The sequence below is a fragment of the Homo sapiens genome, chromosome 2 (genome assembly GCF_000001405.40).
Source record: "Homo sapiens chromosome 2, GRCh38.p14 Primary Assembly".
Lineage (NCBI taxonomy): Eukaryota > Metazoa > Chordata > Mammalia > Primates > Hominidae > Homo > Homo sapiens.
The window spans coordinates 6,343,053-6,358,533 of record NC_000002.12 but is presented as its reverse complement, the minus strand read 5'-3'; the positions used below and the strand labels follow the sequence as shown (position 1 = coordinate 6,358,533).

Sequence of the window (15,481 nt, the reverse complement as noted above, 5' to 3'; positions counted from 1 at the left end):
CTGTCCGGCAGTCACATGCTGCCCCGGTGCACATTGGGGGATGCGCCCTTTGACCTGAGCAACTCTTGCAGTGTGCTATCAGGGCTGCAGTTTCCATCACAAGGGAGGAATCGACAGAAGTCCCTGCTTTGGCTCCATCACGGAGCTTATGTGTGTGTTCCTGAGAGAATCCCACCTCTTGGATGCGTTAGCCTCTCACCTCCTGCCTTCGGCTTCCTTCTTGATGCTGCAATTTTGGCACGCCAAAAATATCCTTGCTTAGCACAACCCAGAAGTGAGGGGCTACAAGTGCACAACCCGGAAATGGGGGGCTACATATATCTGATGGATAAACTCTTCCTTTATTCTCTTTGAAAAGGAATGTGCTGAGAAACAATTCCCAGAGCGTCAGTTTCCCCAGGCACCTGGCAACCTGCCTGCACTCAGTGGCTTCCAGCTTCATAGTGCACCTTCATCCTGACGTCTTCTCTTCTGCTGCCCTCTTTTCTTCCCTCAATCTTGCTCCCTAAGGTTGTGCTAAGTCTTCTCGGACTCTGGGAATCTAAGCTAAGAAACTGCTTCCTAGACAGTGCCTTCTTGCTATGTCCTCATGTGGTGGAAGAGACAAGGCGGCTCCCTGCAACCCCTTTTACAAGGGCGCTAATTCTCTTCATGAGAATAGAATTCTATTCATGAGAGTAGAATTCAGGACCTCATCACCTCCTTAAGCCCTCCCCTCTTAGCACCACCAAAGAGCGATTTGGTTTCTATGTGCATTTTGGAGGGGCTCAAGCATTAGAGCACAGCATCAGCATTTTATAATTCCCTCCTTTCCCTGGACAACCCTGTCCTGGCTCCCATACTCAAGCTACTACATCAATTTGTTTGGTTTCTCAGAAATCCCCACTATTTGAAGGACCCATGGGAATATGCAAGCATTTTGGCTCAGGAGGAGAAGTGCAGTCTCAAGGGGGATACCTGGCGCGGGGCTAAAGAGAAGAGGACAGACAACCGTGACTATCTGGAAATCAGAAAAGAGAGAATATTACAATTTGTATAAAATATTTTCATAAATATTATAACATTTTAGACGTTCTCATAAATGACTTCAAGGCATACAGAAATCAGAGTGGCTGAAACCTGAGGGAATCGCTGAGTGTCAGCACATTTGAGTAGACAATGCCAAGTGCCTGGCCAGGCCAAATGGAAATGGTTTGGGGGAGGGGAAGATATTTCAGGGACACAGACTGAAAGTCGACAGGCAAGGCGGTCCTTGGGTGAGAAACAGGAGAGGCTGATGGTGTGGGCCATACCTGGGCTTGTGTTGGAAAATGACTGCCTGGCTGTCTCCATAAAACAGTTGAGTTTTTGCCAAAATAGATGCAACATCTCTCCTAGGTTTCCCTCAGACCTGGTTTAGGGCATGATTTCCCTTAAGCAAATGATGAGGAATGAACGCAGAGGAGAGGATTGCTGTGAGAACTATTTTTCTTGCACATGTGCAGCCTGCGTGTGCCTGAAGACACGTGACACCAATTATGCCTCATTATAAGTAGGAGCCGCTCTAGATCCAAGAAGGAACACGGAGAACAATGGGATAGCACCAGTGTCTGAATAGGAGAAAAGTGATGGCAGGAAGCAACCGTATTATTTAAAGTTTAAATATACTATATTAAGTACTGGAAAAGTACAGCAAAAAGAGCTGAAAAAGTCATGAATCAAGTTATAACATTTTGAAGCACTTGAGGATGCAGTACCAGGACAAGTGCCCCTTCTGACCTGCAGAGTCTGCCTTCATCAAAATCACTTTTTACTATAATGGAGCAGCCTGGAGGTCAACCCTTTTTTCTGGGTCATCCAAAGCCCCCTCATTTTTTCCTCCCAAGCAGCGAGAGGCCATCCAACTGTGTGACATGCTTTGGTTTGGTATGTTCCAAATTCTGTAAAGAGAAATCTATAATACTGAGTTTGATTTCCTGCCAGCAGATGTCCTTCTCCATCAAATCAAAGGCAAAAGAACCCAGGCTCACTCTTCGTTGTGTCCAATTTTCTCAGTCTTGGCTCTATGGGGGTCTCTGCAGCTCTTGGGGGGTTGGGCTCGCTGCCAGGCAGCTTCCAAGGCTGGCTCTCCCCTGGCTCAGACTCTGATGAAGTTCTTGACCACCAGGGTTAATGGAGTCCGCCTGACACGGCAGGTCTGGCAGGGGCCCCCAGGGGGATGTGCCCTAGGGAGAAGGAGAACCTGCTTTCACACTCAGAGGCTGGGGCAGGGCTGGAGGAAAGTGGCCCCCTTATTACAACTGGGATTTGAGTGAGTATGACTCTGATCATCCTAAATCATTGAGACTCTATCCTGGTGAAGCACTTCCCTCCAGTCAGCAGGCCGAGGACCAGATGGGGGCAGTTGGCCCAGGGCTATCAGACACCACTGGATGGAGGCCCACACTGGGTAGATGCACCTTCCCCCAGGCCCTCAATCAGCCCCTTGGAAGCTTGGAGAGGATCCTTTAGGTGATGAATGGCCAGGAGAGAGAAGCACATGGGAAAATTCCCTCTCACTTGGCATAGATCTCCACTGCTGCAGAGGAAATACTGCAGGCAGACTTCATCACAAACCTCAGGGAGGATTTATTTGCACCAAGGGAGGTGGGATTGTGTCCTGTGTTGTAATTAACATCAATGAATTTCTCTTTAAGTCAAGAATTTTTGTTGTTATCAAGCCTTTTTTTAGATTAATCTGAAACCCCCAAAAAGAGGAGATAATAGAAATTTCCCTATCTTACATTCAGAAAAATGTGATACATGTAGTTTATGTGAGAAGATAGAGTCAAGGAGAATGTGGAGTGAGGTAGGGGTAGGATCCCGTTAAGTAAAAATGAGGAAGTAAAGGTAATATATGTAATCAGCATTTATTATGTGGGTACCTACTATGTGCAGACGTTATAGTAGGGAAATTTACACATCTTTTTTTCTTTAAAGCTCTGTGATGTTTTTTAAGATTGTAATTATTAACCTTGTTTTAGATATTTGGAACTTGAAACGCTAACAGGCTAAGTATATTTCTAATATGACAAAGCTAATAGGTGTCTAATATGACAAAGATAATAAGTAGTATTTGAACACATCTGTCTGAATCTACCTCATAAAAATAAGGAATACTGTGTCCAACCCCAGGCCTAGAACATGTCATCCCTAATTCTTTGATAATTCATCTCTAGCCATCCTTCACATTTCAGCTTATACACTGAACTTCTGCAATTTTTTTAAATGGAACTTCCACAATTCCCCTGAACACTTTCTTCATTTTCCTCATTGCAGTGGGGGATTTTCTCCTTAGTTGTGTAAGGGTTTTTTTGTTGAGTATTTGTTGGTGATAATATCTTTTTTTTGTTTTTTTGGTTTTTTTTAGATGGAGTTTTGCTCTTATTGCCCAGGCTGTAGTGCAATGGCACAATATTGGCTCATTGCAACCTCTGCCTCCTGGGTACAAGTAATTCTCCTGTCTCAGCCTCCAGAGTAGCTGGGATTACAGGCGCCTCCCACCACGCCCGGCTAATTTTTTGGTATTTTTAGTAGAGACAGGCTTTCACCATGTTGGCCAGGCTGGTCTTGAACTCCTGACCTCAGGTGACCTGCCCTCCTTTGCCTCCCAAAGTGCTGGGATTATAGGCATGAGCCACCACACCTGGCTGATAGTATCTTTTTTTGGTGATTGTTATATTCTTAATGACCAGCCTATGACAAATAAGCATGTCCTAAGTGAACGAATGAATGACTGAATGAATGAATGACAACTAGGTAGCATTGATGATCTAGAGTCCATACTTGGCCTTAATAGTGCTTTTGTGCATTTTCAGAACTGGTTATGACTGTCATACAAGTCAGGCTTTGTTTTCTAATCCTGTCCCGGGAAAACAAAATCCAGTGTTGATATTGCCTAGACATCTCCCTCAAAATATCTAATGTACATTTCATCCATAAAACATTCCCTAGGCTGGAATTCTCATTCATCTTCATTCCTCACTGTGCATCAAGTCATATTATGCTCAGCTATTAGTAATATATACCCACAGTATTAAACATATAGTTGGATAATCTGTTATATTATTTACATAATAGAATTGTGGTGGGCATAAATGTTAATAAATAACAATGCAATATTATTAGTGATCACTTATACTTGCAAAATGATAAATTATTCAGGAGTCTCTTAATTCTTGAATGTAATATTATATTAAATGGAAACTATCGAAGGTATATTTTATTCAAAGCAGACTCGCAACATTTGTACTTTTGAGAGGTCCAATCATCTCACTCTGACTTTATGATTAAAGGAGCCTCGGTGTCACAGAGATTCAAGTTAACTCTGTAAATCGCTGAGGACATTATGAGTTTTCCCAGAATGTCCTAACACTACTGTGTTCACAGAATACTTATTTGAAATGTATGGGAAATCAACTTCCAGGGTTTCTCAGAGGTACTTAAAAGGGGCACTCAGTCACAAATGTTAGAAAGAGAATTTGCCAGATGACCACAGCATATGTTCCAGTGATTTCCACAATCTGGAAAATTATTTTCAGGTCACAGAACAATTTTGCATGGTTCTAGTCTCAAAATCAGAGTTGGTGGTTGAGCACCAGAGAATACTTTTCTCACACTGAAGTTTTGATGGGGAGAGATCTAAAGGTTTCTGAACACTCACTACCTGCCATGTATTTCACTTCTTGTTTTCTTTAATCTTTGCAACAACTCTGAGCTACAAGCTTTAATGCACACGCTAGCCCTCATTCTAAAGCCAAGTAAACAATCCTAGAGCCGCTGAGTAGCTCTTGCCGAAAGGTCTAGAGAAGCGGCAAAGTAGACACTCAAACCCAGATTTACCTTGGGTCAAAACATATGCTCTTTCCACTCCATCCCATGCCAAACCAAGGAAACAAATGTGCCTTTTCCATTATTTTCCTTTGTCAATATTTTGGGTGCTATTTTCTTTCCATCATAAATATAAATCCAACTTCTGTTGTATGTCAATGACTGTGTAATATTTGGGGAAACTGTGGGAACAATCAAGATTCGGTGTCTTCTTCCGTGAACATTTAAACAATTTAAAAACTTAGATCTATTCACTTACTATTTTTCTAAGTGAAGTTAGACTTAACAGGTTTGGCTTTGTTTCTTTAACTACAGCACTACACTGGAGCTGAGCTTGCTTCTGGCCATGGAGTGATACCCCTATGATTCCACTGAAATTACTTTTCCCAAAGCATCCAAACCCCTCAGGTCCAAGGCTGAGACCTGGCTTTCTGAACTGGAGTCCAGCTTTGCAGAGTGACAAGATTTCTGTTTTACTGTAAGGTTTGCACTCCCTTGAATTTTCACTAAACTTCTGCTTCCTAAGCCAGAGGTGCTGCCCCAGGGACGCCCGGGAGGCCTGGATGCAAAGCCCCTCTGCCACCTGGTGACGGGCATGGGAACTGCTCCATCCTGGAATTCTGGGGCCTGGAACAAAGCCTGACCATGATTTATTTTATTATTTATTTATTTTTTTGAGAAGGAACCTCGCTCTTTCGCCAGGCTGGAGTGCAGTGGTGTGATCTCAGCTCACGGCAACCTCCACCTCCCAGGTTCAAAGGATTCTCCTGCCTCAGCTTCCCGAGAAGCTGAGACCACAGGCACGCGCCACCATGCCTGGCAAATTTTTGTATTTTTAATAGAGACGGGGTTTCACCATGTTGGCCAGGATGGTCTCAATCTCTTGACCTCATGATCCGCCTGTCTTGGCCTCCCAAAGTGCTAGGATTACAGGTGTGAGCCACCACACCTGGTTTATTTTTTATTTAAAAAAAAAATTTTATTAATTTCATTTAATTGTATTTGTCCTCAGTGAAGCAGCACTGTCACCCTGGGTCTTATTTTTGGGAAAGTCTCAGTGTCCAGGTTACATTGGCTAAGTCCTTGAGTCCATGAGGAAAGTCAGTCTGAGGGCACTGGCCTCACTTTTTTCACCTTTGGCTTTCTCTTTCCTCCTGTCAGTTTGCTTTCAGAACAGTCCCTGAGAACGTGAGAAACTGCGAATTTACCTTTATGACCAAAATACATTCTTAAGCTTTGGTTTACAAATGGAACCCTTTGGGAAACGACAAAAGAGAAGTGAAAGTTCTCTTAAAGAAATCTCTCAGTCTTCGTGTTTAAGATTCCCCTGGCTGAATGAATGGCCACCACTGACAGAGCTGTTTCTAGATTACCTCCTCGCCTCCTTTCTCCAGATCCAGGTGCTCTCACTTGACTCTATATTGAATGCACAGACTTGGGGAATACTCATTAGACTTCTCCGAGTCTAATGAGTGGCTAATGTTAAGAACCACTGTGAGTCTAGGCCCAGAATACTAAAAACAAAAGGAAAAGGCTGTATCAATCACTTGGATTCACTCTTGTTTGAGGGAAGACAACTAATTAGAAAACTTTAGAACAACAAGATTCAAACATGGTAACCCATGTTTGAATTAATTAAAATCTGAATTAATCTAAGATTATTAGCCCTAGTTCATAATCAAATAGGTCTTTAACATACTATACTAACTTTAAACATTTCAAGTTCACACAGTTTCACACTACAATTTTTGCATTTCTGAAAATTTATATGAAAAAAAGAGTATAAAATGGAAAAGACCTTTAGATCTACCCGAGTTCTCACTTAAACAGGTCTGATGGATTGCAAGTAGAAATGATAAAAGAAGTGGAGGTCAAGTAATCATGGGTGCTTAAGGTCTTGAAAGTATCTAGAATATGTTGCCACCTTTATAAGGTTTCTGGTCTTTGCATACTTAACACATTTTGAGTTCTACAGAGTTTGGCTTTTCATTTTATTGCATTACTTATTCCACAAAAACACTTAAAATAGGTACTTATTTTTAACATTTTTTCTACTAATAAATAAAACATTGTATTGATAAAAACGTGTCACAGTTTCTTTTTCAAGACATCCAGGGAGTAAAGAGGGTGCACGTGAACAAAAAAATTCCACCAAAAATACAAATGACAAGTGTATTTACAGATATTCAGCCATCTTAAAAGAAGCATTTATGGGGATTGTAATGTTAAATGCACACAAGATGAGAAACAAATATCAAAACTGAAGAATTCATATAGAAATGGCAATTAAACAGATGGTACCGGGCAACCAGGCCCAAAGTTTAGTGGTCAATATAAGTCATATACAAGTTAACGTTAATCAGTTAACCAAAATTATAATTAAAAGTGCCTTCTAAACAATACTTCAACTGAAAAAAAAGAAGAGAGAGAGAGTGGAAAAAAAAGGTGTGGATTTCCTCAAGATGGCACATTATATCCATGGACTAGTTCTGCTGAGTTTTATTTTTTTTTTAGAGGCAGTCTCGCTCTGTCGCCCAGGCTGGAGTGCAGTGGCACAATCTCAGCTCACTGCAAGCTCTGCCTCTTGAGTTCACTCCATTCTCCTGCCTCAGCCTCCCGAGTAGCTGGGACTACAGGCACCCGCCACCACGCATGGCTAATTTTTTGACTAGAATTGCACTGAGCGGGGGATATAGGAAAAAGATCCCCTTGTCGCCCAGCTGACTCTGGGGTATTGTGGGTAACATTTTTCCCCAAAGATAAGAAGTTACTGGATACTTCCTACTTAGTTACCTGTGACTGGAAAGACGTGTTTCGTTCTGGTTTTTACATTTTTTTAAATGGGGAAGAAAACAGTAGAAGTACATTTTAGATCTCATCCATCTCTCTGAGAACAAACAAATAGGCCAAAAAATAAAATTCTCCAAAAAAATAACCCCAATAACTAAAAGATTCTGAAGGCTAACACACTGGACCTTCTCTGCCCCGTGTTCTAGTGGGAGAGGAAAAAGGTAGAGAAAATGGACAGAAACCAAAATTTATTGAACAGCTGAAATGTTCCAGACTCTATGCTAAGTTTCTCATGCTCATGATTTTATTATGGTCTTAAATCAACCTTTTGAAAAAGGTGTTATCTCTGCCTCACAAATCAAGGGATTGCGCCTCAGAGAGGTTAAGCAACTTGCAAAATGCCTCATAGTCAAAATGCAACAAATCTTTTATTTGAAACCAGATCGGTTTCACTGATGTTCACACTGCATGCTCTATGCTAAGATTGAAGGTGGAAGAGGAAGAGAGCAGGACATTTGTAACAAAAGTCCCCGTGCTATGTTACTGTTTGTCTCAGATATTGATGGGTTCCAATCCCCTCCATACTGCGTGCGTGACTTTTGTTTCCCTGGATCCACACCTCATTAAATACGTCATAGCTCCTTGGAAGGTGAGATCATTACCATGCCACACATTTGTAGATCCTCAGAAGATGGCCTTGCTTGGTGCGGCTCAGCAAGCGATGAGCACAGCCAGTGGGTTGGCTGTCAATTCCTTTCTTTTTCAGGATAGACATATTTTACTGTAAACCTGTCCATGTCATTGTTGTTTGAATTCGTGAAAAGCTGGCGCCCCTGGCAAGCGAACTCAGGAGGAAACACTGACGATGTCTCCTCCTCCCATTCTCATGCTGCACCAGAGGAGGACCTGGTGGAGAAAAGTATAGACTGAGACCCTCCCGGGGTTGAAACGTTGCTGTTGAAACCTTTTGTTCTACCTTAGTTTCCACATGACATAATCCTCTCTCCTCCAGCATTACACTTAGAGATGAGTTGAACAGAGAGAACCACATTTTTTACCCTTCTGTTGTTCCATTGTTAACAAAAATTAAAATGCAATAAGTACCTATATATTCCCATAAAAATGTGAAACTTGGAACAAGAAGAAATTTCAAGGCAGAAAAGAACACACACTTGTGTTGACACGGATCTGAATAAACAATGACTTGCAAACACACACTCTGAAATAGCAATTGTGACAGCCTATGATGGAATCATGGAGTTGCTAGAGTTGCCCTTCTGGCTTTTTCAAAACTGTTAAAATTGTACTAACTCTTTTTTAGTTCAAGTTAGTAATCTCTATCAGAAAGCTTTGCCTTGTACATTCCGCAGGATTGAGAAGCTCATCAGGGTTCTGACACATCACTCTATGGTACCTGCGAGAGAACTCACCACACTGCAGAGGAACCATGAGCTTCTTCATCAGTTTCTCCCACAGTCTGAAAGTATCTGTGAGTTTTTCTAGTGCACGGTCAATCTTGTCACCTTGAAAATGTTCAATTAAATGTGTATTCAAATGAATGTCAAACTAAGGATCATCTTGGGTTTTATTGGATTTGTCACAATAGATACCAAACTTAATAGGAGAATTTTTTTAAAGATATTTTGGAAACCTTTGCCACTTACCCAGGCTTATACTATTGCTTGCTTTCCTATAACATCTAAAATGATACGTATACTACATATTTTGACCTTAAGTGCTGAAACATTCAGTTTTTCATTGACCAAATGTATGAGATTAGAGTTAAGAAATACATTTTTAAAAAAGGGTCCTAGGATTATCAAAGCCTGGGAATCAGCCACCTCATCTGAATATTCTGCTCTTTGCTAAGGAGGGTGAGGCTGAACAGAGGGACTCAACTGCAGAGATGTACTCAGACCAACTACCTTCCTAACCTCTGTTAGGAAGGAAAGCATCTCTGTAATAGACACTTTGTCCAGACTCCTGAATTTGATCAATGTGGGTAAGAAGATGACTAATCAATGAGAGCTGAACAAAAGGCATTTTATTATTCAAGACTGTGATAAGATTTTCCCACTTTTAAATGAAAAAAAAAACTCAAATAATTTTAATCAAAAGGAGATTTGTATACCAGATTCATTTAAATTTCTGACTTAAAAAAATTCTACTGGAATTTGATATAGAGAAAAGTCAGGGATATATAATATTGGCATAGAGTTAGTAGAGAGTTAAAATTCATTTTTTAGCTGCACTATCTGCCTAAACTGCCCTTAACAAGATCATTTTTTATACATGAAATTTTGCACCTCATTACCCCTAATTACATCCTTTTAACGGCATTCTTTGAAAATGCAGACTGAACAATGTAGGATAGAAAATACTTATCTTTCTTCTATTCCTGTTAATTGTTGAGTCTTATTCTTAAATCTGACTTCATCTTTTATCTCTTTCTATCCAAACTAAAATGTTTCATTCTGATCTAAACTTCAGAGACTTTTCTTTTTGGGAATAGGGAAAGAAATACACCATCTTAATGAGGAGAGCAGCAACATTTTCCTTTCCACTCTTGTAGCACATTCTTTCTACTTTGCTATATCACATGATTACCCAGTAACCATTTTGGCTTCAAGATTATTAGCTTATTAAGGACAGAAACAATATTGTATAGATCTATTGAATCCTTATAATATCTAAACTGGTGCCTTGAGTAGACTATGCAACTAGTAAGTTTTTATTGAATAAACAGGTTTCATATTTTGCAAGACATCTTGTATTATCTTGAATATTTCCAAATATTAGAAATGTTCTCAAATTTTGTGATTATTTCTGCTTTCCTCAGCTTCTAACAGATTGTTTACTCCATAAAGCCCTTCACAGTTTTCCTAAGCATTTTCTCGTGTCAGTCTAACAAATATTTGAAGATAATTATATTGTGCTTCTGAGTATTTTTTTTCTATACCATTCTCCTTAATGCAAGTTTCTTCATTTTTAGCTTTTAAATGTAATTATCCAGATTGCTCTTCTCTGAGCATTCATCTATAACTATATGTGTGTGTGTAGATAGATAGATAAATAGATAGACAGGTAATAGATAGATAGATATGAAGATATGAAGATACCTGTTAAATATATCTTAGTAAACAGAATTCAAAATTGGATCTAATAATCTGAGGCAATATGTGTAGCTAAAATAAATGGAACTATCATTGCTATCATTTTTATGTAATTCTTCTAGTGATGCTAGTAATACTACCAATGTATATATGGCTACTTTTAAAGTCATATAATTCAGTTAAATCAAAATGATTTTGATTTCAATAAAACCCTTGCTTTTTAAGGCTAGATTGTCACTATCTTATTCTTGCATTTGTTTACGGGAGACCTAAATACTATAGATAGATAGATAGATAGATAGATAGATAGATAGATAGATAGATAGACAGATAGATAGATAGATAGACAGATAGATAGATAGACAGATAGATAGTGATAGACAGACAGACAGACAGACATAGAGAATATTTGGATGGATATTTATTTTGCAATACGCACTTGACATGTGTGATCTAATTCTCACAACCACTTTGTAAGGTAAAGGCGATTCTTATTCTCATTACACAAATGACGAAATTGAGGCTTAGGAAGATAAGTGTACAAGAGTAGGTGATAGGGCCTGGATTTTGTTCTTAAGAAAATTTCCCCTGAATCCTGGGCCTCTACTCACTTCTTCACAGTCATCACTCTGCCTGATGAGGTATTCTTGGAGTTGTGTATGTTTGCCTTTCACCTGCTGTTTCATAAATGTCATGCCACCAGGAAAATGGCTAGTTGAATCAGATATACTTGAGAATACTTGCAGAGGTCTATACATGTGTTCTGTTGGAAAAACTGGACTAGTGGGGTAAGAATGGGGGTTCCTCCTTCCACCTCCAGGTAATTCAGAGGGTTCTCTGCCAATAACTTTTTCCTAACTGAATCTATTGTAACTCAGAATATTTTTTTTTTCTAAGAGTAAAGTTTTGGGCCAAGTCCTACTTTTTGGTGGGAATATCTGTGGACAAGTGGAATCTTGAGTCTTCTCTTAAAACTAATTACTTGGCTATTGTCCTTTCTACACAAATGCAGGGAGAGCCCTGTGCTACTGTTACAATGATGTCTCCTTATTGGGCTGAAAGCACTGTATGAACCATCTTGTCAAAAGTGCTAATGAGTGTATATTTATATTTTCAGGAGAGTATCAAGGGTTCTTTCTTCCCTTGATCTTTTGCACAGAATTAAATAAAACACACCTGGGAAACATACTTATAGAACAAGGTTGAATTTTCTCTATTTAAAAATTGATTTGAGAAAGAAAAGCATTTAAGAAGGAAAGAAAAATAAAATCAAGGAGTTGATTTGAATTAGAATAAAGAATATTGTCCTGAACGTCAGATCACATGTGCTTGATGATCAGCTCACCTCTGCCCTTTTAAAGGCTTTGTTTCTAGGATATCAAGATGCATCAGACGCCATGTCAAAGGCTCCCAGAATTTGAGACTTACATCTCAAAGGCTGTCACATCCCCTGTCCTGCAGATTTCTTATAGAGAACAATACCTGCCTTATAAGACTGGTTCTGGTAAGTCCTTTAATTTTTGGTGTCCAATCAGTTACTAGTAGATGCCAAACCTTGAGTTCATGTTTTAGTTACAGACTTCAGCTCATACTTTCTCAATTATAACACTAAGAATCGTCCTTTGGATAATAACGCTTATATCAAACCTAGAGACTACGTAAGCACAACTTTTCTCTTTTACTGTTCTATTCACAGTTAAAATATCTTTGTGTGTGTGTGTGTGTGTGTGAGAGAGAGAGAGAGAGAGAGGTGGGATAGAGAGAGAGGGACAGAATGAGAACAAATCTGGATTTGTCAAGGAAAAAAATGTTCCATGGCAAAGGAACCATGAGTTGACCAATGGGTACCGATATCTACTGTACACAAAGGATCGAAGCCAGTCCTGAGGGCTAGACGGGAGAAAACATCATAGTGACCCTAACCTGTATTTAAATGTATCCCGTAGAAGTTAGCTAGACTGCAGCCAGAGCAATACAGTGAGTAATCACCAAGTCATGTTTCTGAACTCACATGACTCCTCTGAAACATGTGGTGAAGATATTTGAGGCATTATCAAACACCTGCAGATTTTCAGTTCCTCATTTCTTGCTCATGTGATTTATTAACAGTTCTGCTAATGCAGATAGAATGCAGCCTCAAATTACAGCAGAGGAGAGGGTTGAATGCTGTGCAGCCTATGCTATTCAGAGTGCAGAATATCTGCAACCTAGTTGATCATTTTTGAATCATCAGCTCCATCTTTTTGTTAAATTAACAATTTAACAGCTGCTTTCATCAAAGTTCTTTTGTGTCTACCAACACGATACTGTAATTTTTTTTCCTAAATGCAATTTCCAAGATCATTTCTGTCTTTTCAGTCCCAGATTACTGATTTGCATGTTTGATCAATTTGTATACAAATGTTCAAGAATTTATAAACCATCTAGGGAGCATGAAACACCCTCTAGAGCTCTAGAGAATAATTTGATCCATCTCATCATTCACTTACTTAAATTTCTTTTTCATTAAGAACAGGTGATGAATGAAGGCAGTAAAATATGACTGAGCTTAGGTATACTGTTTCCTAAATAGGAAATATTGTAAACCAAAAGATTTTCACAAAATTCTAGTAAGTGGGAATATTGAAAATTGAGTCAGATTTGTCATAGAAAACATATTTTTTTCTTTTTACCTTTTGTGTTAGTCGGCTTGGGTCACCATACCAAAATACTATACAATGGGTGGCTTAAACAACAGAAATTTATTTCTCACACTTCCAGAGGCTGGGAAATTCAAGATCGAGTTGCTAGCCAATTTGTTCTCTGTCAGGGCCTCCTTCTTGTTTTGTAGATGGGCACCTTTTTGTGACATCCTTGGTGCATGCAGGCACACACACACACACACACACACACACAGAGAAAATGTTCAGGTGTTTCTTCCATTGGACCAGAGCCCAGGACCTCATCTAAACCTACTTATTTCCCCAAGGTCCCATCTGCAAACACTGTCGCATCAGGGGTTAGGACTTCAAAGGATACAATTTGTTTGCAACATCTTTTATAACAACTCAGTCTGCAACACTTCTCATATCTCCAACAATATTTAGGCTTTAATTTATTTTAAAATCATATTTCTAAGCTATATGCATAATAGTACAGCCTGAATGTCTTGAGCTCAAAAGAAGACCTTTAGAAAACAATGCACCTAGATTTTCAAGGAAAATCTATGCTACGTTTGTGGCAGAAGCCACTTGAATTGGCTGATACAAGTTTCTTTCTTGGCTACTGGATCTCATTAGAACCAGCTTCTCCAGATTGGAATGACCTCCTTAAGGGCCCTGAGTATCATCTTCTGTGTCTAGTTAAATTGAGGAGGAGGCACAACCTACTACGTAGCCTTTGCAATCAGGAACAATCAGTCCCCCTTGAGCATTCCTCAGAACAGGAACTGTTCAAATCTGCCCTTTCTCTGAGCTTGTGGGTCCAGACAGTGCAGGAATAGCTGGACAGGTTGGAAGAAGAGAAGGCCAGGAAAATTTCCAGAAAAGTCCCTGAGGCATTCATTGGAGCCGAGAGTCAAGCTCAAGCAGCAAGGTACAAAATACTAACATCAAGTCCAAAGGGTAAAAGACTGAGTTAGGATGGGCTAATGGAATAAGAAGTTTTGGGTAAGTGGAAACAAAGTTGAAATAACAATAGCCCCAAAGCAAATCAGAAGGTTCACGTTTATTACCCCAAACAGTGCTGGGCCAACTGTAGCTTGCCTTATCAGCTACTCCACGTTGGATGAAGATAGCTTTGATCTTCTGGCTTAAAGGATCAGAGGCAGTGTGAGTAGAAACTCAACCGTTTCCCAAAGGGTGGAAAAGCAAATGATATGGCTGGCAAAACACGACTCTCAATGCTTTGGCTTAGATGTGATACATGCCACATTCATTTACATGCCATTGGCCAAAGCAAGTCACACAAACAAGCTTGATGTCATCTGGGTGAGGATACATACTTCTCCAATGGGAGACACTACAAATCCCGTGCATGGTGCAACTGTATATAATTCTTTTACAAGAAAGCAGAGTGAATATGAAGAAGCAATAGTTCAATCTACTACATCTTTTGAAAATAACTTTCCCTTTAGAAAGACCGTCATTTCTCTTGCATGCTTGCTGTTTCCTTCCATTTGTTTTTCAAAACACTAATCTTGGTTAGATTCACATATAGTCTTCATGCCTTTATCTGTGAAGGTGAACACCAGTATAGAATGTTTAGAAAAAGACAAAAGAGTATAATATCATCTTCATACATTCATAATTAAGAATTTCAATTCTCACTCAAAAATTCTAAGAAATCCTACCGGTTTTCCTCTACTAAGCTCATTATCCCACTCTCTGCACTAACTATTTTAGACCTTTGTTTTTCTATTCAAGCTCATCACCCATAATTCCCCTCTGCACCACTCCCCTCACATGCTGCCCACAGATGGCATTGCCTCTCATTTCGTTAGAAAAACAAAAGCCATCAGGTGCCCCCTCACCTCCCCAGCACCGACTCTGTGCACCTGTCTGAGCCTGGACTCATCTTCTTCTTTTCTGTTCTCTTTCTGTAAGAGTTGCTAAATCGTGATGACTGAAGGATGTATAATTGGTACTAAGTTTCAGAAATAAGCCTCCTTAGAGGCTCTGGTAGTTAAAAGAGGATTCCGGTGATTCCCAAAGTTTGCAATAGTCCATTTCTCTAATCTGTCCATGTTTTAG

At 39.7% G+C, this 15,481-nt stretch overlaps 3 annotated features.

Moving 5' to 3' along the window:
• Positions 6,119-6,238: an enhancer, noted in NCBI's record as "active region_15243". NCBI's record gives its function as "activates an Ori minimal core promoter by ATAC-STARR-seq in GM12878 lymphoblastoid cells {active_cell/tissue: GM12878}" and the evidence as "EXISTENCE:reporter gene assay evidence [ECO:0000049][PMID:35858748]".
• Positions 12,285-12,334: an enhancer, noted in NCBI's record as "active region_15242". NCBI's record gives its function as "activates an Ori minimal core promoter by ATAC-STARR-seq in GM12878 lymphoblastoid cells {active_cell/tissue: GM12878}" and the evidence as "EXISTENCE:reporter gene assay evidence [ECO:0000049][PMID:35858748]".
• Positions 12,815-12,864: an enhancer, noted in NCBI's record as "active region_15241". NCBI's record gives its function as "activates an Ori minimal core promoter by ATAC-STARR-seq in GM12878 lymphoblastoid cells {active_cell/tissue: GM12878}" and the evidence as "EXISTENCE:reporter gene assay evidence [ECO:0000049][PMID:35858748]".